The 26,171-nt window shown below is 35.1% G+C and overlaps 1 protein-coding gene and 1 long non-coding RNA gene across 4 annotated transcripts in view; one reads left to right on the top strand and one right to left on the bottom strand.

Annotated features, from left to right (window-relative positions):
• The window catches only part of HHIP (hedgehog interacting protein), a 99,116-nt gene extending 74,530 nt beyond the window's left edge, over positions 1 to 24,586 (top strand). The window contains exons 12-14 of one of the 3 annotated variants that reach the window (XM_005263178.6): positions 14,056 to 14,204; positions 17,079 to 17,207; positions 18,034 to 24,586. In XM_005263178.6, coding sequence (XP_005263235.1) covers positions 14,056 to 14,204; positions 17,079 to 17,207; positions 18,034 to 18,044 — 289 coding nt within the window. In that variant the 3' untranslated portion in view covers positions 18,045 to 24,586. Of the gene's footprint in view, positions 1 to 14,055; positions 14,205 to 17,078 lie in introns of all 3 variants that reach the window. The other 2 variants (XM_006714288.5, NM_022475.3) reach the window with 2 other exon arrangements.
• The window catches only part of LOC124900791 (uncharacterized), a 67,320-nt gene that overhangs the window by 31,545 nt on the left and 9,604 nt on the right, over positions 1 to 26,171 (bottom strand). The window lies entirely within an intron of this gene.

Below are 26,171 nucleotides of genomic sequence, written 5' to 3' on the forward strand. Positions count from 1 at the left end.
AGATTTGTGTTTGCTTTTCAGAAGGTGGGGGAAGTAGCAGAGTCCCAAAGAAACCGTCCTTGTACACAGACATGAGCATAAATTTCAAAATTAAACTGACTATAAGAAAACAAATGTTTTTATAAACATTTGTTGGGAGCCTCATGCTGTTTTGATTTGGCCATCAACGTTTATTATCATAATATTTCTTCCTAGATGAGTTGACACTTAAGTATGTGAACAGGATTATTTTGGAAACAAACTAATTACAAGCACAGTAGTGTTCAGGAGGTCTGTGTTAGGGTAGAATTGTTTTTCTAAAATTTTTGAGGTAGAATTTTAAAAAAGATTCTTGTCAGCTAAAAAAACAATATATAGACACGTTTTGTTATACCAAAAATCAAACACAAATTAAACTTTTAGGTTAATTGTATTCTCATACCAAAACCCCCAGGTTTGCTAGAATAATGTTTTCAGAATAACTTTCAAACATCAGTTGATTTGTGGCCCAAGAAGAGAAAAGCAGGAAACTATGAAATTTTTATTTTCTATATTATATGTCATAGAAGTTACATTCTTACCATAGGATTTATGTTTTTCCTATTTTTCCCTACATGTGCACACACACAGACACACACAAAAACACACACACACACAATGAGGGAGTTTAGAAACCATAGAAACTATATACGCAGTATCTCTTAAATCATTTTGGCAAAAACAGATAAGGTTCTAGTATTACCACCTCAGTCTGTAAGGACAATTTGATCTAAAGCTGTAAGTTACATAATCATTTACATAAGTTCAAATCAATTACAGTGTGCAGCAATCTCAGAAAAGGATGGTGAGATATTCTCTTGTAAAAATTAAATGCCATTGTTTAGCATGAAAAAAAATAGAAAATGCCTAGAACTCAGGAGTTATTTAAGGAAAAAAAAAAAAAAAAAACTTCCAGGCCGGGCGTGGTGGCTCACGCCTGTAATCCCAGCACTTTGGGAGGCCAAGGTGGGTGGATCACCTGAGGTCAGGAGTTTGAGACTAGCCTGGCCAACCTGGTAAAAACTCCGTCTCTAGTAAAACTACAAAAAATTAGCTGGGCATGGTAGCGGGTGCCTGTAATCCCAGCTACTCAGTAGGCTGAGGCAGGAGAATCACTTGAACCCAGGAGGAGGAGGTTGCAGTGAATCGAGATTGTGCCATTGCACTCCAGCCTGGGTGACAGAGCAAGACTCTGTCTCAAAAAAAAAAAAAAAGCAACTTCCGAGGAAACAGAAAAGGAATTAAGTTTGCCTCCATGTTAGAACATTGTACACACTCCTGGAATACCTTCAGGGACTGAACAGTCACATCTTATGGCAGGGCAGAGTTAGGGTCAAATCAACACCAGTCACCCAGTTGGCTCAGCCAACCCACAGGATCCAAAAAAGTCTCTAGTACTGAATTCAGCATGCCATAGCCTGGGGGATCCTTCAGCTAGCAATTCTGAAAAACAGATTTAGATGAACTGAGGACAAAATCTTGGCAATAACTTTACTTTCACTTAGTAATGCCATCTGAAACTAGTCAAGATTGGGAGCAAGTCTATCTAGGTCAGACAGGGAGTCAACTGGTCTGATCTCTAAATCTTCCTTAGTGTAGCACTCAGCATAGATTATTTCACCATACTGTGTCCCTTTGTCCATCAAAAATATATAGAAGATGATATTTCTGTCCCTGCTGCATTCTACAGAGGGCTGTGAAGGTGTTTAAATAATCTATTTTAAACATATTACATTCTTTAGTAATTTTTGTGTGTTTATTCCAGGCATTCCAGGATTATTTTCAGGTGATCTCTCAACTTTTAAGGTTCCTTTATTTCCAAAATTGGAATAAAGACATCTATGGAGCTTCTAAGAATGCTCAGTAGAGCCAGGTGTGGTGGCCCACGCCTGTAATCCCAGCACTTTGGGAGGCCGAGATGGGAGGATCACTTGAGGTCAGGAGTTCAAGACCAGCCTGGCCAACATGGTGAAACCCTCTATCTACTAAAAATACAAAAAATTAGCTGGGCATGGTAGTGCATGCCTGTAATCCCAGCTATTCAGGAGGCTGAAGCAGGATAATCACTTGAATCCAGGAGGTGGAGGTTGCAGTGAGCTGAGATCACACCACTGCACACTGCAGCCTGGGCAACAGGGTGAGACTCTGTTTCAAAAAAAAAAAGAACTCTCAATACATAGTTTTCAAATTATACCTTGGATGCTCTTTGCTAAATCCTTTCAGAATTACATAAATGTTCCTAGGGGTGGAAATTAAAGAATTCTGACAAAGTTATGTAACTTCCAAGATTTATTTTTATAGAACACGAATTTTTTTATAGTATTGACAAATATTATTTAATTTTTGTTTCAGATGAACTTAAACCAAATGACTTTTTTTGAAACATTTCCAGAGTTTATGTTTCTAGGAATTTGTAAAGGAAAATTATTCTCCATCATGTTGATTTAATTATTATGTACCCACTCTTGCTATATTTTAACATATCATTTATCTGTTACCCAACCAAGTCACACAGACCATTCCCTTAATAAGTCTATAAATTAATAATGCAAATTCCAGGCTCGAGAGGTCATTTTACATACATGTTGTATCCCCAATCTCCTCTGTGACCAATATCAAAAACTGCCCCTCATTCCTCTTCCCCCCATGGCCCACTTACTGCCCTTTGTCTATTGTTTTCTTAATATCTTCATCCTACTTCTTATTAGACTGGATGCTAAAGAGTGCTTTTTTCAAAAAAATCACTTCATAAGAGGAAACCAGTTCTGTTTATCCTTTGCATATATCTCAGGGAGCCAGCAGGCAGCTCTGCCATCCTAAAGAAAGTTACACATAATAGAGCAGCTTTAGCCCAATAAGCCAGTCTAGTCCCAATTCATCAGCCAAAGTTTTATGCAAGTGGCCCCCCTAAGTTGATAAATTCCCACAGTGCCTGTTGACCCAGCTGCCAAGTCCTCTTGCAGCAGGTGGTGTTTTCATGGCCACCCTGACAGTAATACAAACTGTTTAGCAGCTCCATTGACCTTTCAGCTATTAACAGGGATACAGGCTCCACTAGGGACTAGTTTTCAAACATGACAGAATTTCTTAACACTAGAGGTCATGAACAAGTATATGCCCTATAAAAGTCCATTCAGCATGGTGGATTTGAAGTCTAAGAGGCAAGGAAACATTTTCCACATTTTTGCTATCATCATTATTCTATGTATCCAGTAACCAAAGATGAATATACATGTATCTGCCTGACTATATTTTATTATCAGTATACTAGATTTCCTGTTGTGGTGCACAATACCTTTTCATCTAACAAATCCCTACTAAGCTGCCATATAGCATCTGAAATTTTAGAGATATACCACAAAAGATTTGGGCAACATCAAAGTTGAAACTTCTAATGAATGGATGAGCATGCATACATAATAGATGGTAGCAGCCTGAGTATCACTAAAATTGTATTCATACTTTAGTAAGATTTGCATACATGTACATGTGTACAGACACACTGAAACATACAGGTAACACATGCAATGTTATGTAGAGCTGTCACCTATTTCAAAATAAATAGGTGCTATTATATAATAATTTATGACAAAAAACTTTGTGTGACCATGTTATTTTAAAGGGTTTATGTCTTATTTTTAAAAACCATCATATGCTTTTATTCCAAGTGCTGACAGATTTGTATTTATAAAATGCAAAACTACTTCTATTTCTCCCCTACTTGAAATCCTTCACTGGTCACCCACAGCTATTAAAGATGAATCTAAACTTTTAATTTTTCCCCAACTTTAAGATATAATTGACAAATAAGAATTGCATATATTTACAGTGTACAACATGATGTTTTGATAAATGTTGTGAAATGACTGAGTCAAGTTAACTAGCATATCCATCGCCTTACCTACTTATCATTATTTCTGGTGAGAACATATATCAGTCTTCTTTTGTGTGTGTGTGTGTGTGTGTATATATATATATTTATATATATATATAAGTATATATATATGTATGTATGCATATATATATATATATCCCATTTCCTGGAAATGTGACATATGACCACAGCATTCAAAGGAATTTTCTCTTTTATACTAAGTAGTCTCTTTTAAGCTATCAATTTTGATACTTAGAATATCATCTTCTTTAGTAATTGGATAGATTGCTATGAAAACTTGACTGAATTGCCACTTCAAACTGGCATTCATCTAAAAAGCCATAAAATGGAGAATGTGAATGGTGAAGAATATATTCTTCAAAGTGAGACTTATATATTGAGTGAAAAATTCTTAAAAGCATTTTCTTTTCAATTAACATGGCCACCACCACTGCCATGCCCACCACTATCTCTTGTAGGACAATGCTAGAAGTCTGATATTAGTCCTTTTGAATATCTTATACTTTTATAGTAAATTAGTATATCATCAGATATTGCAGAACCTTAAAGACAGATTTAATGTTGCATTAGATATGTCTGAAACAGTCATGCAAATTTTTTGAAAAGATGTTTTCTAGAGGAAGATGTAGCTTATAAAGAAAAAACTGCATCTTAGCATCATTTTGTTACTAATTCATTTTGTTTGATTTAAAAAATTTGTTACTTAAATGACTTATTTTTGTCAACCGTGACAAATGAATGATATATGAACATCAAAATTTGGAAATTCATCAGGCTAGTCATCTTCAAAGAGAATTTGAACTGACATTCCTGTGCTCTTTTATAGGAAAGAAACTTGTTTTAAATTTCTTTTCTCCTTTAAAGCATTTAGTGAATCTTAAATTTCTACCTTTGTATGATATGAAATTAAAACACTGGTAGATCTATTGCTTTATAAGTGGGGAAATGGAGCTAAGAATTTATTTTTTGATGATTTCTAAAACAAAAATACTGCATTCTTTAAGTCTTTTGAATTATGTTGTAATACCAGTGTTATTTATTTATTCTGTGGGTGTGTGCGCGTGCGTGTGTGTGTGTGTGTGTGTTTGAGACAGAGTTTTGTTCTTGATGCCCAGGATGGAGTGCAATGGCACGATCTCGGCTCACTGCAACCTCTGCCTCCCGGGTTCAAGCGATTCTCCTGCCTCAGCCTCCCAAGTAGCTGGGATTACAGGTGCACACTACCAAACCCGGCTAATTTTTTGTATTTTTTGTAGAGACGGGGGTTTCACCATGTTGGCCAGGCTGGTCTCGAACTCCTGGCCTCAGGTGATCTGCCTGGCTCGGCCTCCCAAAGTGCTGGGATTACAGACATGAGCCACCGTGTCCAGGCTATTTACTCTATTTGTTAATATTAGTTGTCATTCCCCTGGGCTATTTTTATCACAATAAAAATAGATAAAATCAGAAAAAAATTCTCTGGTTATATTAAGTTACTAAAGCAATACTTGTGTTTAACATTTTTATCAATTATGGTTTATGAATTAAGTATTTAAATTAAAAACTTGATTTTGGACATGAAATTCTGAACAGAATATATTTCCTTCTTTATATTAGGAAGCAATGGCATTGGCTTTTTTATTATAACCTAATTATTTAGTTTTTATTTTGTGTCATATCAGAGTAAGTACAGATATAATCCAAGATTTCTGATTTCATTAAGTCCTGATTTCATTAGAAGCATTTTTTAATGTCTCCTGTGTTCAGTATATTATATTTGCATTATGTGCTACAGAGGGAGAGAATGAATGAGAAGTTGGTCCCATCCCCTAAGGAGTTTATTTTCACTTTAAATCAGGAGATTGCATATATTATTAAAATGTAAAAAATATTATTTGAGGTAAAACAGTTTGAAACAAAAATACTGTACCATAACCCTGTACATTATAAATTGCCAAATTAATGATCCAGAAGTTCTTGATGTAGGTAAAATTCACCATGATTTGGTTTCCCATTCAAGTCTGTTCTGCTACAGTGCAAATTTCTTTAACACTAATAAGCTCATATACAAAAGAGAATATCAGCACAACATGAAAGTAGTTATGTAGCTTTTCAAGCAAGAGGTAACGAGAATTATAAGGAAAGGAACATGCCCTCAGCCTAGCTGTTGCACAAGCAGAAAAAGCCTTCTCAACTGAGCCGTCAATGAAAAGGAAGTGCCTGTACTGGGTTTCCCTCTCTCTCGATGCATCCCACAGTCTTCCATGGCTCTCTTCAGGGTGCACATCCACTTTTCAGAGTTTCACTTCCATCATTATTTTGTTTTGTGTGTTTCTAATCTCTCCTGAAGCGACCTCCAGCTACTTCTGAGCTGCTTGCTGGTTGCCCAAACTTTCTTCCAAGGTACCAGCTTTTGTTTTCACCACTGCTTTAGTTACAAAGCTGCACAGATCTTGAGGGGTCTGCCCCAAACCAATTCTTCCCATAAGCCCTTGTCTTAGTCAGCTGAGGTTGTTATAACAAAATACCTAGGTGGCTTAAACAACAGACTTCTGATCGTACTGGAGGAAATCCAAGAGCAGGGTACCAGCATGGTTGGATGCTTGGTGAAGGCTCCGTTTCTGGTTTACATATTGCCACCTTCTCACTGTATCCTAACACGATGGAGAGAGAAAGCAAGCTCTCTGGTGACACTTCTTATAACGGCAATAATCGCATCATGGGGGCTCTATCTTCATGACCTTATTTAAATCTCACTTCTTCCCAAAGACCCTGTCTCCTAATGCTGTTATTTTCGGGGTTAGGGCCTCAATATGTGATTTTGGAGGGAAACAAGCAGTCCGTAACAGCCCCCTTATTTTAAGTGCCATTTTGTGGAATACAATATTTTTCAGGAACATGTACATTGAATTACAGTAGAAATGCCTATTTTTCTATATTCACTGCTCATATTATAGTTGATCAGTTTCTAAAGCTAGGATATTGCAAATATAATACCACAAATACCTAAGGCAGTTTGATAAAACTGGACCTTGTCTTTTTATCTAAAAGCACATGACATTATTATTTAGTTTCATTAATCTTTTCTCCTAGGTTTTCCCTGTAAGATATTACATAACTTTTCATGTCCTGAATTTCCCATGGAAATATATGCATTGAGTTAAGTTGATAAACCAAAGTTGATACAGGATATCCACATACCCTTTTAGATATTTGTGTACTGTGGTGTTGATGATTGTATAGTGAGATTAATAGGACCTGAAATGTGGGTACATTGCTACCTTTTTTCCTAAAGTAAGAGGGCCAGTTCAGTGGAAAGAACACTGAACCAGGAAAGAGTTCCAGAATTCTCTGTAACTAGCTGTGTGAAAGCCACTTAATCTCTTCATACACTTTCTGATCTTTTAAACTTAAGAATTACAAAGCTGACCCTCTCTCATGAGAATAAAGTTAAACTTGAAAAATGTAAGTGGCTTCATTATTTGCTTTTATTATGGTTGCATCTTTAACCACAGAAGAAAATTAGATGGATATTTGTGAAATTTCTGACAATGTTATTAGCAGTAGACAGTCAAACCTGTGGCTCGATTCACTAAGTTACTACTGCTTTTGCCTCCTTTGAAAGGTTTAGTGCCAACTCAGTTTCAAACTGCCTAGGTATTAAAGCCAAGTAACACTGTTTCTTAGTGAGCAAGTGAGTTCAACCTGTGAGGATGAGACTTTTAAATCTTGGAAATCCTCAAAATGAAGAAAATATTAGTCGCAAAGAAGACAGCCAATGCTGAGCCCCACTTGTTTTCAGCACATTTCAGGACACAGAAATTTCTAGACACTATGTAAAAATAAGATAGAACATTAGCTTTATCCATCCTAAACTCAAATTTTAGAAATGTTTAGTACAAATTAAAAATTAGAATATGATTTATAAGGTATATAAATTCAGAGTTATCCTTGAATTCAAAGGTTTTTTTTCCTCTTTATTCTAGTATCAGAGTTATTTAAGAATACATAATACAGATATTTCTGCAGCCTACATATGCTATAATGTCAAGGAAGGTATTCCTTAAAAATAAAATGAAAGCTGTAACTCTTAAAACATTTAATTTCTTGCTGTACTTCAGATAGTACTTGAAAAATACATTAGGAAATGTGTGTTGCTGTCAATCCTGCCATGAAGTCCCAATGAGATCAATATTACATGGTTACACAGGAAGAGATTCCATTGGCTCCGTTCTTCTACCTGGAATATGGTTGTATTATAAATATATGATTCCTCGGCGAAATTTAGTTTGTATAATGCATTGTTGTTTTTAAAGCTGCCTACAAAATGGCTATGTGTAGTCTCAAAACATGCGGTAAATCCTTCAGAATACAGCATTCTACTCCTTATAAGTAAACTGACACTGAAGAAAGAAACACCGATATGACCAGGAAAAATTCAGTGAGCAGCCAGATTAAAGACAATTACGAAGAAGAAAAATATCAGTTTGTGTACTGCCTTTGAGAAAGGCACTAAAATGATTAATAAAAAGATGACACAGCAAGTACTATACTAGCACTTATTCCTATTCGTAAAGCTCCACAGATGGAAGACAGTAAAAATTTATCCCATCATAAGAAATTTTTCACTTCCTTACCCTTTTTTAGGTAAAAGTGATGAGTATTGGCTTAAAAATGATGAGTGGTCAAGGATAATCACTGTGTATCAAATTGCTTACAGCGTGAGGAAATTCATTAAACCATAGAATCTGCTGTGGCATTCGAAGACTGCCTCCTTGTTCAGGGCAAGGACTCCACCCAGTTGGAAGATTTCAGAGCATTCTGTACTTGGAAGTGCCTGAATACACTAATTAATGGCCACATTGATTCCTCCTGGCTGGGAAATGGACCTAATTTAGAAACAGGCCTCACAAACTTGAATATGCATGTGAGTCACCTGGCCATTTTGTTAAAGATTCAAAATCAGTAGGTCTGGGGTTAGAGCCTGAGATTCTGCATTCTGTGGAATGAGGATTTTGACTTATCAATTTTTCCTAACTCATGAGAATGAAAGAAAGCATGGAAGAAAAGTAGTTTTTTAAATGTTAGAGTTGCAAGGGTGCTCTTTTCCATGTGTCCCAATGTGTCTGTGGATAAAGGAGTAACACAGCTCTTATGTTACCTTCCACCCTTAAACATAAAGCTGTCTAAGACAGGCTACAGAATTATTACATCTTCTAATACTTCCATCAGGATATCTACATAAGTATTATTCTTGATCTGCATATCTTGTTTCACAATGAAATGAATTCAAAATCTGGACACCTCACAAAAATTTCAGAATGAGCTCCTTTATTTTTGTTAGACAAAATAGATTTCTGCAGTGCTCATTTGGAAGGGTAGTCCTCCTCAGACAGGATTTATCCTCGTACCTCCGCACAGAATCAAAGGACTTCTCATGTACTGATTTATTTGTTCATCCCCTAAATTAAATATCATGAAATGAAAACTGTTCAGAATACCACTACCCAAAGACATTCACTGTTGGTCTTAGCTATTCACAGAAAGTCATCACCTCTAATGGATGTTATAAATAACTTATGCTTCTCAACTTCCCTTCTTTCAAAAAAGTATCCAAATCTTTATACTACTACACAAAGCAAGCCAAAGTTGGTTTCTAAGAAAATTTTTTTAAATTTCTGAAAACAGTGCTTTATACATTAAAGAATGTTGGACAGTTTTTTGAACTAGGGTTTTAGTGTTTCATTATTTGTCATGCATGAAGGGATTAGGAAATATGTTTTTCTGATTTAAATTAAGTTCAAAGGCTATGGGGATAGCTGTCAACAAATAGGCTAGATATATTCTTTTTTACAAGCCTAAACAACCTCTTGGGTAAGTTTTCTGTTTTGAAAGTTACTCTGACTTCATTTAGTAAAGTGAAGGTTCCAAAAATTTAAAGAGTTATTGTTTAAAAGAAGAACGAGACAATTTAAATGATTCTTATTAGATCGTACATTAAAGCACCCAATTTTCCAGTCCAATAAAATTAAGTAAGAAAATGGGTTAATGCATCACAGATATATACCCTAAAGTTTTGTTTAGATTCTATCTAGGTGTGTATATGTAGTACTTAAGTATATGTAAGATGGTCTATTTCAACATGACAATAATAATAAAGTTTAAAGGTACTGTTTATTCCTTTTTTGTTTCTCTTTATTTCATGTAAAAGGGCCCTGTTCTTTTCAGTAAAAGGAAGAATGTCACCATTACAAAGAGTTATTGGAGGGGAATGGTTGGAATCACCAAAAATCTTTGTCAGACGTTACCAAATATTAGAAAAATGAATTTTAATGTGTTGACTTAATTCCCATCTGTAAGAGAAGACAATCCTCTCTCTTTATCTCATGCTCACCTTGACTTCTTAGCCTTCGGTTTATTTACTATGATTATAATTATTATCAAAATGCATCTTTCAGAATGAGTATAACTGTACCTTGGAAAAAAACTTTAAGACAAGTTTATTTAGGCAATAGAGAGAAATACAGTAAATGTTTTGTGTTTATGATATGAAAGTATAGCAATTAGATTTTAAGGATATCCCTCCCCTGAATGGCCCATATTTTCCTAATATCTTTACACAACAACATAGAAGGGGCACAAACACCCTTTTAAAATTCCATATTCTTATTAATTTCATTCATTCAATAGATTTCTATTAACCATCTTCCATGTGCAACACATTCTTCTAGGTCCTGGGGAGCCACAAGAGATGAGAGGAAGTGTTTGTCCTCATGGAGTTCATATTTCAGAGAGTGTATTTGAGAAAGTTACTACTATATAAATTCAATTTAATTTATTTATTTTACTTATTTATTTTGAGATGGGGTTTCACTCTTGTTGCCCAGGCTGGAGTGCAATGGCATGATCTTGGCTCACTGCAACCTCCGCCTCCTGGGTTCCAGCAATTCTCCTGCCTCAGCCTCCTGAGTAGCTGGGATTACAGACACCCAGGACGACACCCAGCTAATTTTTGTATTTTTAGTACAGACAGGATTTCACCATATTGGCCAGGCTGGTCTCAAACTCCTGACCTCAGGTGATCCACCCACCTCAACCTCCCAACATGCTGGGATTACAGGTGTGAGCCACCGTACCTGACCTAATTTAATTTAATAAACATTTATTGACTGACTATACAGGATTTTCCTAGTTCCTATGAATATGAATACTTGAAGAAGATAAAATACATGGTGGTATAAATGTCATCTCTCTATAACATCCCTTAAAGTAGTTGCCTCCTCATCTGTATTTCTATGATACTTCATGTGTGCCTGTATCATAGCAAAGATCACACTGCATTATACTTTTGTGTATGCATGTTTGTCTTATCCTCAGTGGTCTGTGTGAGGCTCAGGACCCTGTACTATTTATGTCTTATCTCCCTGAAGAGCGCAGTACTTGCCCAAGTAAATGATTGGACTTGAAGAGGATTGAGTATGTAGCTTCTGCCCTCAGAAAAACTTCAGTGAAGAAGGGAAAAAAATAGATAAATAGCCTATTCCTGAAGAGAACCCTAAAAGAGACAGGCAATCTTTTAGGTAAATGTTCATATTAAGGGAGCCCTGATAGAGTAACAGTTTAAAAGAGAGAGGATTGATTTAATATAATAAGTACAGAATGTTATTTATCAACTGTGTAGAACAAAAAAAGATAATTTCTCCCGGTATTTAAATAAAACTTGAGGGAATTACAATGTTTGTATATTACAGCCACACAGTCTTATATAAATTAAAGTAAACAAGCCCAGGTGTGAAATAATTACTACATCCGTGGGTAAACAAGCATTTACCAAATCTTAGGGAAAAAATAATTTAGAATCTTCTCCCTAATCTGAGTTTCCTTATGTTTGAATGTTTGGTGAAAAGTAGTCAAAGCATCAAATTGGAGTATCAGCAGAGAAACAGGGGTCAGACACTCTCCCCTAAAGAATAGCCCTTCAGTATCAGATTCCTATTTATCATGTCCTCATTCCTTTTCCCAGTGCCCATGAATCAGTGTTCCTATACTTTGCCTCGAACAGGCAATATCTTCTAGTTGTTGTTTAACAAAGTTCATCTATATTCATGACCTAAATGATGCCATCTCTTTGGATTCACCTATTCAGGCATAAACCATCTCATGGGGTAGTATGTGAGAGTAGGTACCTGCAAATTTTGCATTGCCTATAACATGTAATAGATTTTTGACATACTCTATTTCTGGGTCTCTTTTCTTGAATGAGTCAGAAAGTGGGTGAGCAAGTGAGTAAGGAATAGAAATTAGATGCACAGAATTCTGCAATTTCAACTAGAATATTTGTTTACTGAATGCCACTCAGTGGCCTATGACTCAGAAGAATTTCATGGCTACTGAAAAACTGCTCTTCTTGTGGTCAGAAATGCCACCATTGTCTCACAAACAAAATAAGAATTTTAAATGAGAAAGAAATAGAATATACTTGGGATACTCAAGAACAAGAAGAAGGCGAAGATTGTGTCCTTACTTTTCTTGGCATAGTCATTTAACATTTTCTCTACCTTATCCCACCCCACCCTTACTCCCAGAAAGACACTTTTGAGGAACATATGGAAACTGTTAATGTTTTCTGAATAAAAATATGCTTAGTGCATAGAATGCCTGAAGGGCCTTTCACATAAATTGACCATTCCTAGATTCAAATAAGAAGCTGAATAGATTTAAGGGAGTTTTCTGAATTGTCATGTTAGCTACAGAACATAGCACTTTCGACATAGAGTGGGACTTTTCTTCTGGAGAAGAGCTAGGGAAGCCACCGTACATTTTAAATATTTTTGTTTTTAACATATATGGTTTTTATATGGTTTTGAGTCATTGTAGAAACAGCCTGAGATCAGGACCCAAATTATCATCACTGTTCATATTGCCATAGGGACATAACAAGGTAACCTATCTCCAAAAAATTGAGTCTACAGGGCTTAATTATTTGCTTATCTCAAAAAGCTCTGTAATTTACCTCTTGAGGTTTTGACCTGTAATGATCACCTTCTTTTTATGGTACTTAAGGTGTCCATTTGCTTGGCCGTCCTAATGCTGTTGATTTGACTGTCAATGAAAACATTTGTTTACATTCCTTAACTGAAAAGAAACTTCTCACCACACTGTGGCACAGGTAACAGCGACTGATAGGAAAGTGCCACTGGATATTTTTTTCCCTGAAGATTAGGTAATGAGCAGTTGTGACCATGACTCCAGCCTGACCCAGCTCAAATGACATCTTATTTTAAAAACAGTAAGAACCATAAAAATCTTCTGAAGGCATCTTGGTTTCCACTATAAATGATGGCAGTTGTAGAACAATTAAAATCTATGACTTTTTACACTGCAAATAAGATGTTTCTGTTTGCTACTTTTAGCATTCTTTTTTCCTTATAGCAGGACAAAATCAAATTATTTATATATACATATATAATCATTACATATATGGATCAAAATCAGATTTTATATATATATAATCTTCACATATATATGGATCTTTCTGTGCATGGAGTTTAAACTTCAACTCAATAGTATACACACATATATTATGGTCACCTTTCAAGAAAAATCAGTCTAAAAATATTATCTCAAAAGAAATATAAAATTAAAACAAAAATAAAATTAAAAAAAAAAACAAAGATTCCAAAGCTTTTCAGGCTACAAGTCATTTTGATGAATGCCTTCAGCCCTGTACTACTGCCAACTGTGTCAATAACAAGTGAAACTATCTCAGACACTATTCCTAAACATTTTTGTAGATATAGGGTGAAAAGTTTTAAGATATTTATACTACTTTACTTTAAATATTGCAATTGTTAGAAATTCTTACTTACCAAATGTGAAATATCAATTTAATTAAAGATATTTTCATCAATGGGCTTTGATCAGGATAAAGTTTCTTAGAATGTTTAATGTGTTTAGTTGGGTTACAAACTGGTTAGTTTGTTTCCTCACTGGTATGTATTTCCTATCCTTAGAAAGTTGTAAATCTGACTGAGTCACTTAAAAAAAAAAAAAGTCTCTCTAGAAAGTAAGAGGCATGCTTTGTAAGCCACAGAATCACTAGATTTCATTCCACTGTTGATTTTCAAATGGAATACACTTTCAACTATTGTGTTTTAATGTAGACCTTTAATGCCTGAGGAATGCAGAGCCACGGTACAACCTGCACAGACACTGACTTCAGAGTGCTCCAGGCTCTGTCGAAACGGCTACTGCACCCCCACGGGAAAGTGCTGCTGCAGTCCAGGCTGGGAGGGGGACTTCTGCAGAACTGGTTAGTATTTCTGTTTTCACCTGAAAAGGACTGGGGATGAGCCAATCCTTAGGTACTCAAGAACTCAACATTGATTGTTTCTTCTACAATAATATAGTGTTCAAAAGTATTTAGCCATTTACAATACTATTAATGCTCATCTGTTTATGAGCTTGTAAGTAAAATCTTGTTCATTTTCTTAATGTAAACAATTCACTTATGTAAGTTAATTATAAATATACAAAACCTTTAAATGACTGAGTCCTTTCAAAAAGTAAAAAATGCAAATAGCACAACTAGATCATCTCTTTAGGCCTCTTGGTCCTGGGTTCTGAAATTTCACACTAGCCAATGACTTAGTGTTTGCAAAGCCCCTCTCCAAGCGCTAGCATTTTCCAGACACCCTGTAAATGCCCTCCCTGGCTTTACTGCTTGCTTTCCTACCACAGCAGACTAAAAACAGGGCTTTTCAGTGGGTGTTATTAAATAAAACGGGAAAATGCAATTATCTAGAGACATATTATGAGATTTTTTTTCATGCTTTTTGCCACTCCCCTGTGAACCATCAACTAGGTGTGCATCTGCTCAGAGAGAGCAAAGGAGATTTATTCCAGGGTTGTTCTAGCCTATAACTTGATAGTTCCTCAATTATGTGCAATGATGCTTAAGTTCTACTTGGTGTGAAGTCAGAAAATTAGATAAATTTAGAAACCTAGAGTTTAAAATGTGTATGTTGAAAATGCATAATCAACAACCAGCATATACCATCACTTAGAAATGATTTTGATCTCGGCTATTTCAAATATTAAAATACTTATTGCCAATGAAAATTAAAACCTCAAATTAACATTTAATATTATTTATTCATAAATGCTATCTTTTTGTTTGTCCTCAAGATGTATTTCAAAAAATTATAACTATAACTTGTCTATTTTTATATTGCCTAACAAAAAAACCAACATTTAAAACCACATATAGAGGATATATTTTAAACTTACATTGCTTCAGCATTAATAACATTATGTGTGTGATTAATACTATGGTTATGTATCTAGGAAGGAGTTATCAAAATTAAAACTCAACAGAAATTAAGTAATTACATTATTTAAAACAAATGCTTACATGTTATTTACCCATCTTCTCTGTCTTTTTGTTGGTTGACCAAAAATATGAGAATCAGTATTCAAATGTAATGATATTCAAATTCCTGCTAATTTATTATCTCTCTGCTTCCTTTGCTGCCTAACAATATCTACTTTTTCTGCATCTTTTTTTTTTTTTTTTTGAGGTGGAGTCTCTCTCTGTCGCCCAGGCTGGAGGGCAGTGAGGCAATCTCGGCTCACCACAACCTCCACCTCCTGGGTTCAAGTGATTCTCCCGCCTCAGCTTCCCGAGTAGCTTGGATTATAGGCGCCCACCACCATGCCCTCCTAATTTTTGTATTTATAGTGGAGATGGGTTTCCACCACGTTGGCCAGGCTGGTCTTGAACTCTCAACCTCATGTGATCTGCCACCTTGGCCTCCCAGAGTGCTTGGATAACAGGTGTGAGCCACCATGCCCAGCCTCTCTGCATCTTTTAGTAACAGAATATAACATAAAGTGTCCATTCTGTTATATTCCCTGCTTTGCATTTTGCCTAATCTCTTATGTTATCTGAAGCCTGCTAGTGACAGTATATTTAAACTGAGGGTGAATGAATTATCTCAAATACAGATGGCACTATATATACCTTAATAGATATTAATAATAAATTGTGATATAAATGAAAATAGACATACATTGAGTTAACATAAAGTTTTACTCCATGAGGTACTTTCATTTTTACACTGAATCAATTTAAATAGTTTGAATATATAACATTTACCAAAACCATTTTATAAAAATAATCTGTTTATGTGGGATGTTTTGGACCTAAACAGGAATTTTATTCATGTACTCACATTGTTTACTCATCTCCCACAGATTTAAAGCATAAAATTGTTTATTTTCTTCTTACTTTTTCTATCCCATGTGTCAACCACAGACACCTGGAATTTGATTAACGCATTTGAAAGGTCAAAATGACCCTGTCTCGTCAAAACATAAGGAAATGTATTGAAGGAATTTGACTCCATCCCCAGTGACTGTACTCCCCAGATTTAATCAGAAAATAGCAATTTATATACCCAATTTTATGTCTCATTTTAGCAGTATATCTTCTTATTTCCCATTTATATTGTAGTGGTAAAATTCTTTAATGAATAAATTCTGTGCTGTAGGGTAACCCTGAAAAGGTTTGCTCAGAACATCCTTTGCTGGCCAACTGCACTGACTCCAGAAAGAGACTTCTAAGTGTAATCAGAGAGCAAAGCATATGCTGTCTGCCCCCTGGAAGCAAGAGGAAGGAAGAATCCAAGGGAGTTTATATGGTGGATATTCCACCCAACCAAAATCCAAAACTGACTGTTCCTTTCTGTTGCACTGGAGTTGCTTGAGCCTCTGTGTCTCCCCCTCAGGCTGGGCCACTCCCATGTTGAGATCCTACCTTGAAGGAATGGGAACATAGAGCTTGGGAGGCCCTCTGTAGAGAATGCTCCTGTGAAGCAGAGATTTCAAAGGACTAAAATCTTCATTTTAAATAGAGTTAATTTTGCAAAGGGTTGCAATTGTTTCTCATGATCTCTGCTTCTCTAGAAATGTCTCTCATTCTCTGCTGAGTTCAGGTCTCCAAATAACTATGGGTGTAAAAGCCTGTTTCCTACTTGCATATTTATCTTTCAGATCATTTTGTAACTATCTCCCTCCTTTTTTCCCTCGCTTCCCTTATTCAGCAAATATTTGTTGGTCTCATGCTCAGTCCTGTTTCTGACATACAGAATGAGAGTGTGATGTTCTTGCTCTTTTTCTCTCCCAGCAAAATGTGAGCCAGCATGTCGTCATGGAGGTGTCTGTGTTAGACCGAACAAGTGCCTCTGTAAAAAAGGATATCTTGGTCCTCAATGTGAACAAGTGGACAGAAACATCCGCAGAGTGACCAGGGCAGGTATTCTTGATCAGATCATTGACATGACATCTTACTTGCTGGATCTAACAAGTTACATTGTATAGTTTCTGGGACTGTTTGAATATTCTATTCCAATGGGCATTTATTTTTTATCCTGTCATTAAAAAAAAAAGACTGTTATCCTGCTACACACTCCTGTGATTTCATTCTCTTTTATTAATTTAAAAATAATTTCCAGAAATGTGCAGATCCTCTGTGTGTATGTCAGCATGTTTGTTCACATATGCACATACACATACTCATAACCCCTATATGCGTTGTTGCATAACAGATGATTTTTTAAAATATATACTTCCTTATGCAAAGTAATTTACACAGAAATTCCATTGTAAATTGATAATGGATTTTTTATGTTACTAGAAGAGATTATTTGACTTCCCAGGAATTTTCTGTCTGTAATCACTAAAGTCAACTTTAATAGAGTTTTGAAACAGTACTGTGCAATCCGATGGATCTAATTAAAAAAAAGGCAATATTTTTATATTAAAGTACTATACTAGGAGAGAATGTTTCAGAACTCCCTGATGAATTTCTAAGTGAGCAACTTGATATAAAATTGTAATCTTCATTTTTGTCAGTGTATCCAGTTACAGAATGCTACACACTTACCTTTTTATTGGCTGAGAAATCTGGTTATTTCATCTTAATCTCAAGATTGTTTTCAAGTGTTTTATAATTAAATCATAATAGCATATTTTAAAATCAATCTTCCTAAAAGGTCTGCTTTTATTGTATATTTTATTTAACAATAGGCACTGGGTTTGTGTTACATATTTATATATTTTATTTTATTTTTATAATATAGACATCACCTAGATGAAACACCTTTACCCTGTCCTGTAAAACACTAAAGTTACATTTTTCACCAACTTAATTGGAAAGAAGGGGAGTGAGAAAGCAAACAGTCTTTAATGTGCTGTGGATCTAATCTAGCAAGGTATCCTTGTGCCAACATGTAATCATTAACGACGGATGAAAAAGCAAGAAAACAGCCAATCCTTATAAAATTCCAGCATTAAACATTTGTAAAGTGCTTTTCACCATAGCAAGACTGTCAGAGTCTATGTTATTAGAATGTTGCAGATTTCCACTGAATCGAACCTCACTGGAGAAGAGCTCACTTGTTTTTAAAAATCTTGGCTATGTAAGCTGTCACCTGTACAAATTTTTAACATAATAATTCTTGCCAAATATGACTTTAAATGTACGTGTTCCTTCAGAACTCAATGAAAATACTCTTTGGCTAATGTATCAATAAATTTTCTGTAAATGTTCTGTTCAGGGTTTTACAGAGATGACATGTTCTGACTTAAAACTGCAAAAAGTCTAGTAGATATTTTTCTTCATGGTTTTCAAAGCCAGCTCTCCACGTTTGGATTTTAACAAAATATAAGGCCTCTTTGCACTAGTGAAAAAACACGTCTACTCATGACAAGTGCACACCCACTATGGCTGTCCTTCTTCTGTAAACATCCATTCCTCTAGAATCTAAATTGTAGAGCAGTATAGATTATGCAGCGCCAGCTGACTTTCTAAACCTTCTCCTTACCTTTAGGAATACAAGCCTCAATTTAAAAAATATATTGTAGCTAGTATTTCTCTATTGTTTTAAGGTGAGAGATTTGCAATTAAAGCCCAGTAAGCATTTATATAGAAGCCACAATGTAGAAAGATTGGTTAAGTACACTGCTCTTGTCTTCCATATATGATTACTTAAGTTTCAAGTGACCTCATGCCAAATGGAAATGGGTTGAGAAATCTTGGTTCAGTGCTTAGTGAACAATAGCCTGCATTAAAAAGTGCATGCATAATTTTGCACAATTTAGATTCAATTGACAGTCTATTCAAAGAAGTCTCAGGATTAAATGAGCATGGAGACCAAATTGCCCTCTTACCCCAGAAAAGGGGTGGTCCCTTCTAGTCACACTAACACTTCATTGGCCCAACAGTGTGACAAATCTTGCAATGAACCATGCAGTAGCCTGCATCTGTAGGTTAATAGCAATCTTTTGTCTCCATTGCTTTCTCTTCATAGCCCTTTTACTGAATTCCATCACAGAAAGTTTTACAATTAAAAAAAAATGTCCTGACAACCATTTTTGTAAATGGACCTTACCATCTAATTGTCCCTTATTCAACGTGGGTGACATTAACAAAATGTGAACTTCTTGTGAGGGAGCCAGCTGTCTAAATCTGTCAAATCGTGCAGTTTTATTACACATTCTCCAATTCTTCCTAGTTTCCCTGAAAACAATAAGGATACTGCTATATATTCAGTAAAATCTAAAAAAATCAAGCATTACTTCTTACATCTTTAAACTTTCCATCTCCTCCCCAAAATAAAAGGTGTTCTATTGCCATTAGTTCTACTGTTTTAAAATATCTATATTAAGTTGACCAGGCCCAGATTTTTTATACAGCTTTTTCCCAAGTGAAAGATTTTCAAGTGACTTAGAAAAACATATGTGCCCCAGGTGTCATTGCCTTTTCTTTTGTGAGTCATTAGAATGAAAGGCCAAGTTCTTCTCAAGAGAAGATAGCAAGATCCACGGATATTAAGCCAAGCAAAGAAAGTAAAATCATTGGAGTCATTTCTTTCTGTTCTTAGGAGAAAAGTAGATAGCACTGGCTAATTGATGGCAACATATTTTAAATTAAGTGGTCAATTCAAAAATTCTCTTTGACCTTTTCTTTCAAGTAGATTTTTTTAAATGCATGACTGGAGAATTATCTTCAATGATTCATGATGAGAGGCAGGTAGGAATTGGTTAAGAAGTATGAGCAGGAAAAAATTATTGTTTAATCACATGAAAGGCAACATCTGTTCAGTTCATAAAGCACACAGTCTCGAATGGAAGAAAAAAAGGTCCTTCGTAAGAATACTGATGCATAAGATAAAGACGAAATAATGAAAAAGAAAAATGTATATTATTATTCCCTTGTCCATTCTCAAGTTTAAGCTGCGGTTGTCAGTTGAATGTGAAATGATGTTATAGTTGTTTTAAATGGTTGGAAATAACCTTTCTACTACTGTTTCTGCCACACTGTTGTCCTGGTTCATAGAACCTTGTTTTCTTGACAGTTATTTAAGGTAATAAAAGGAACACAATTTGGCAGATCTTTAAGTGAAAGAGAGAAAAAATTTAAGAAATTGAGTGATGGCTAAAAGTAAGTGCTTCCATCCATAACTTTTCTTCTTGGATTTTTTTCAATGTAATTATTGTAAAATATATTTTTTTATTTTATCATGAAGAATACTCGGAAGGTTTCTCAGATTAATGAGTATCTCATAAAGAGTAGAGAAACCAACACATACAATATATACACACAACCTAAATAGAAAACTATTTTCTTTGTCATTTGCATGCCCCAGAGAAGTTACTTCTTCCCTATTTATTTCTTTGAAAATAATTACAAAATAGTATACTAACAATTTTAATCCATTTGCTGTTTTTTTTTTTTTTTTGGTTTCTTTTTTTTTTTTTTTGAGACGGAGCCTTGCTATGTTGCCCAGGCTGCAGAGCAGCACAATCTCAGCTCACTACAACCTCCGCCTCCCGGGTTCAAGCAATTCTCCTGCCTCAGCCTCCCAAGTAGCTGGGATTACAGGTGCCCGCCACCACACCCGGCTAATTTTTTTGTGTTTTTAGTAGAGACAGGGTTTCACCATGTTGGCCAGGCTGATTTCAAACTCCAGACTTCAAGTGATCCAGCCCCCCAGGCCTCCCAAAGTGCTAGGATTACAGGCGTGAGCCACCATGCCCAGCTTCCATTTGCTTTTGATATTGTTTTTATCTCTGAGTTACAAACTATACAAGCTTACCAGGTATAAGGTTAGATGCTACATCTAGGAGCATTCAAGATATACATTAATTTAAACTTTTATTAGTCTAACTTTCTGTTAAGTCTCTTAGCTTTGAAACATAAAAGAGAAATCAAGCCCAAATTTTTAGAGGAAGGCTAAGGTATACTATTGGCAGTTGTAGTTTTAATTGTAATTGACTGATTAACCAAGTAATTTATAAAATGTTACCTATACTGTCAGTGTTCACCTCCTCTCCCTCCCTCCTTCTCTCTCTCTCTCCCCCTCTCGCTCTCTCGGCTAATATATATGTGTATGTGTATATATATATGTATGTATATATATACACACACACACACACATACATACATACATACATATATTCTTTTTCCTTTTAACCACTTCCCTCTCCTACATTTTCTATTGGTTTTGCCTAAATAGACATGTTCTCAATACACCCATGTTGAAGGTATCCTGGGCTAGATTGCTGTTGATTTTGCTGGTTATGATCTTTTCTTTGTTTTTCTGAAAAATAGCCTCTCTTGATTCCACATTTTCTCAAATTCTATATAACAAATAATAGTGGATAGTAAACAAATGACATACTAGGCTGATCTATTACAATCATTGAAAGAAATAAGGAAGAGCAGAAATCACTAACAGTCCAGAGGCTCCAATTCAGCTGCTCTAGCATAGATACAGGAAAGACATGGAGAATAACACTGGGGTTAGCTAACAGCAGGGAAAGTTAGTAGCTATTTCCTAGCCAAGGAACAACCTTCTCTATGGAATAATTTTAAGAAAATTATTCCAAATCTGTGAGGAAAAAATAAGAAGCAGTTCCTCAATGGAGACTTTATAAATCTTAATTTCCTCACCCCTGGGATGAGATTTGAAGTTGCAGAGGACTCAGACCAAAGTCCCATGGCAGAAAATGTACATATTTTTAAACTACTCCCAGGAAGTAAACTAGTACTGTGAATGCTGGCAATACCATCAGAAAGTTTATCTTTAAAATACCTAAAAATAAATATATATTTGCTATCTTATCCTCTTTTTGTCACACAAACATAAATTGGTCATATATATATTTATATATATGGTTATATATATTTGGTTATATATATATCTTTATATATATATCTTATATATATATCTTTTTATATATATCTTATATATATATCTTTTTATATATATCTTATATATATATCTTTATATATATCTTATATATATATCTTATACATATAAGATATATGTATATATATATACATTATATATATATAATATATATATATTATATATATATAATATATATCTTATATATATATATATCTTAATACATATATATAACCATGGAACCTGCCAAACACTAATCCTAGCCAACTTCAATCCTTCTTTCTCTTAACTATCTTCTCTGAATAAGTTCTGGACTTCACCTTAAAATAAGTTTTTAGGAGAGTAATATATATTCATGGGATTGTGAGGGAGCATTGTAGAGCTGTTTTCTTCTCAGTCATAGTGGTGGTTTTCCTAGCTGCTATGGAAAGGTTTGTTCACTTATGAGATTAGGACTTTTCTTAAATTCCTCATTAAATATGAACCTAAGGCATACCCATCATTTACCTTGATTCCCATATAATTTGTATAAGTCATATATAAGTCCATTGACAAAATAAAAAAATAAATAATTGGATTCCTTGTATCAACAGAAAGCCTTGTGCTTAAAACCTGTTATTCTTCTTTGAGCCAGACTAAACAGTAACATTTACAAAATGGTATCAGCTCAACATTAAATCTAAGGTTACTTCTCACATACATCATAAAGTCAGCCATCATCTTTCATTTAGGATTTCTTGGGGTTTTCTTTTTGCATATATAGATTATGTATTACTTAAATCCAAAATACATGTGTGTATATATATACATATATATGTAACTTAATATAAATGTTTGATGAGTTATCTCAATTGACTATAATCTTCTAAGTCAAAAAGAAAACATTTAAGTACATAATATAAAAAGAACTGAACATTAACAGTAATGGGAAATTCATAATGGCTAAATATGAAATAAGCTTTGTCTTTGCAGTTACAAACTAATTCTTGTACATTTTCCTTTTCACTAAAAAAATAACTAATTGATAGTTTCCATTCACATGAACAAGTTATAATCAGGTTTGGGATAGTATGCCCAAAACCTATGTTTCTTTACTTTATATTCTTAAAATCTGAGACATGATTTTTCTGGAACAAATTAAGATTTCATGTACAATAGAGTCCCTTTCCTAATACTGTTATGAAGAAACCAAGTTGACTACCTTATGAGAGATCAGATATTTCCCTTATCTCATTATATTCACAGCATATGTTTGGACATGCGTTTCACCAAGAACCATGTAGTAATAAGATAAATGGTAACTGAGGTACTATGGAATTTTTAGAACTTGATTCCCCAGGACATGCTACAGTAAACTAAACTATTTATTCAAAAGTAACCCAACTAATTAAAGTGAAAAAAAATTGTTGAATCACAATGAACAAACATAAAACAATACTTAAATGAGAATTCTGTGTCTTTTTTGGTTTTATCTGTGATTTATTTTGTCCAGTATTAAGGAATGGTTATCTTTATCATTCTTCTAACATGTTTTGGTTTCTCTAATGGTTCATTTTCCTTTAGCTTGTGAAAATTAGGGCAGTTTGTCCAGAGCCTTACTCGCAGGAGACACCAGACCCAACCCATGCTTAGATTTCTGTTAATAAAAGGGAGAAGGGTATTTGAATAGGTAGTAAAGGCAGGTACAAGTTTAAGGGAGCAGGGCTATCATATGTACTAGGTGAGATTTCTATAAATGTCTGAAAAGTTACATGCATAGTCATTGGCTCAGGTAATTTCTCTGAATTTGAACTTATTTGATTTATTTAACCAAGTTATTATAATATGCAGTTCTCTTTAATCAATCTTCTATTATTCAATCATCTATCCATTTATTAATTCAACAAATATTTATTAAAGTGCCTACCATGATTATGTGCTGTAGAAAAGACAAGGACATTTACTAGGGGGGGATTGTGGGCCCAATCGGCATCATAAGCATGTCTGAAGCAAAAGACAATAATCACATCCAACGGCACCAGTTCAGCTCAACTTTAGAATTCAGCAGTAACAGTACAGATGGCCTAAAGTACATCTGTGTGTATCTGTACGTGTGCACACACCCATGTATATATATTTATCTATCTGTACAAACACTACATATGTATACACACTATCTATGTAAAATATAATATATGTATAATGCATATAAATTCTAACAAGTGTATTTGTGTTATCTTTAAAATAGAACAATTGTATCTTGAAGTGGTAAATGCAGAGAATTGGTTTTATTGTTGATCTGTGGATTTAATGATTTCTAGGTGAAAAGGACGTTTAAGTGTACAATTTCTTTTCTTAATTTAATATATTTATGTAAATGCATGCCTGAAATTTGGTTAGATTGGCTGTGTTTTGTGTCTTTTAACATGATCAAATGATTAAACTTTATCTTATGACTTGATGTACATGTGCTATTTTAAAATTCTTTTTTATTTTAGAATTTAAAACTTTTTTCTAAATATACAGACTGATTATATAAACACCAATTTTTAAATACTCTGTAGCCAAACTACTTCAAAATATTCTCATCTTTTGTCATTTTTTACTTTCTAATTTTAAAATTTTCTTCCAAAATATATGCCAATGTTAAGGGTCAGTTTCATTAGGCAGCCATGAAGATGTTACATTGATAAATTTGTTCTAGGTTGTAAGTCCCTTAAACCCCATCCTTTCAAGTAAGTAAGAATAAGTAAAGAATGTAGAAGAGCAGTTAGGAACACTGGGTGCCCAAATTGAAGGGAAGAAGCATGTGGAGCGGGAGGGACATGAATGAAGGTGATTGCAGGTACCCCAAAACTTTGTTGACCTCGCCTTTTTGCTTCTAGTTAACCCTACCAGGAGTATTTTGATCTGTTAATTTGAGCACAAATTTAAAATCTGCCAATTTTTTTTTTTTTTAGAAAAGCAAAATGTGTTCATCTAAGTCCCCTTTCTTCCTGGATAAATGCATCTCTTTGACTCGTTGAAAGGAAAAGCTATCTCTCTGCAAGACATTATAATCTCTAAAAGAATAAAACGTGTTACAAAGTGTTCATTCAGAAAGTGTTCTTCCGCTCAGATTGCTCCTTAGAAGTTTTAAGTTAGACGAAACGTCACCATGAAAAGAGCCCTCTAGCTCATGTTCACAACAGCCCAGGAAGCACCGGAATTCTTTGTGTTTCTACCCTTCCGGTTCCTGAATGCGTCCTTGTGGCTCAGACCACGATCACCCTTTTGTTTCTTGTGTGTCTACTATTTTTGAATCCCTGATAGACGTACATCATTTCCTACATACGTGAAGAAAATAATAGTATATATGTCCACTCTAGTGATGGAAGTGATTTCTCGCTAATCTCTCTGGATTCCTTCACTGTCTCTTTTTTGGCTTCTCAGCTCTGCCATCACCAGCGTAAGCAATTCCCTGCTTTAAATTCCCGCTGTGGTAAACATTTAAAGTAGCCTCCATTTCCCATTTTTAGGTGCTGAGTGCTACAATTTCGTTTTTTGTTTTTTGTTTTTTTGAGACAGAGTTTTGCTCTTTCTTTCTTTTTCTTTCTTTCTTTTTTTTTTTTTACCAAGTCTTGCTCTGTCGCCAAGCGGGAGTGCAGTGGCACTATCTCGGCTCACTGCAACCTCTGCCTCCCGGTTCAAGCGATTCTCCTGCCTCAGCCTCCCAATTAGCTGGGAAGCTGGGAGTACAGACAGGCACCACCATGCCCAGCTAATTTTTGTATTTTTAGTAGAGATGGGGTTTCACCATGTTGGCCACGATGGTCTCAATCTCTTGACCTCATGACCTGCCCACCTTGGCCTCCTAAAGTTCTGGGATTACAGGCATGAACCACCGCACCCAGTCAGAGTTTTCACTCTTGTTGCCCAGGCTGGAGTGCAATGGCGCGATCTAGGCTCACTGCAACCTACACCTCCTGGGTTCTCCCTCAGCTTCCCAAGTAGGTGAGATTACAGGCACCCGCCACCACGCCTGGCTAATTTTTGTATTTTTAGTA

Source organism: Homo sapiens, chromosome 4, assembly GCF_000001405.40.
Source record: "Homo sapiens chromosome 4, GRCh38.p14 Primary Assembly".
NCBI lineage: Eukaryota > Metazoa > Chordata > Mammalia > Primates > Hominidae > Homo > Homo sapiens.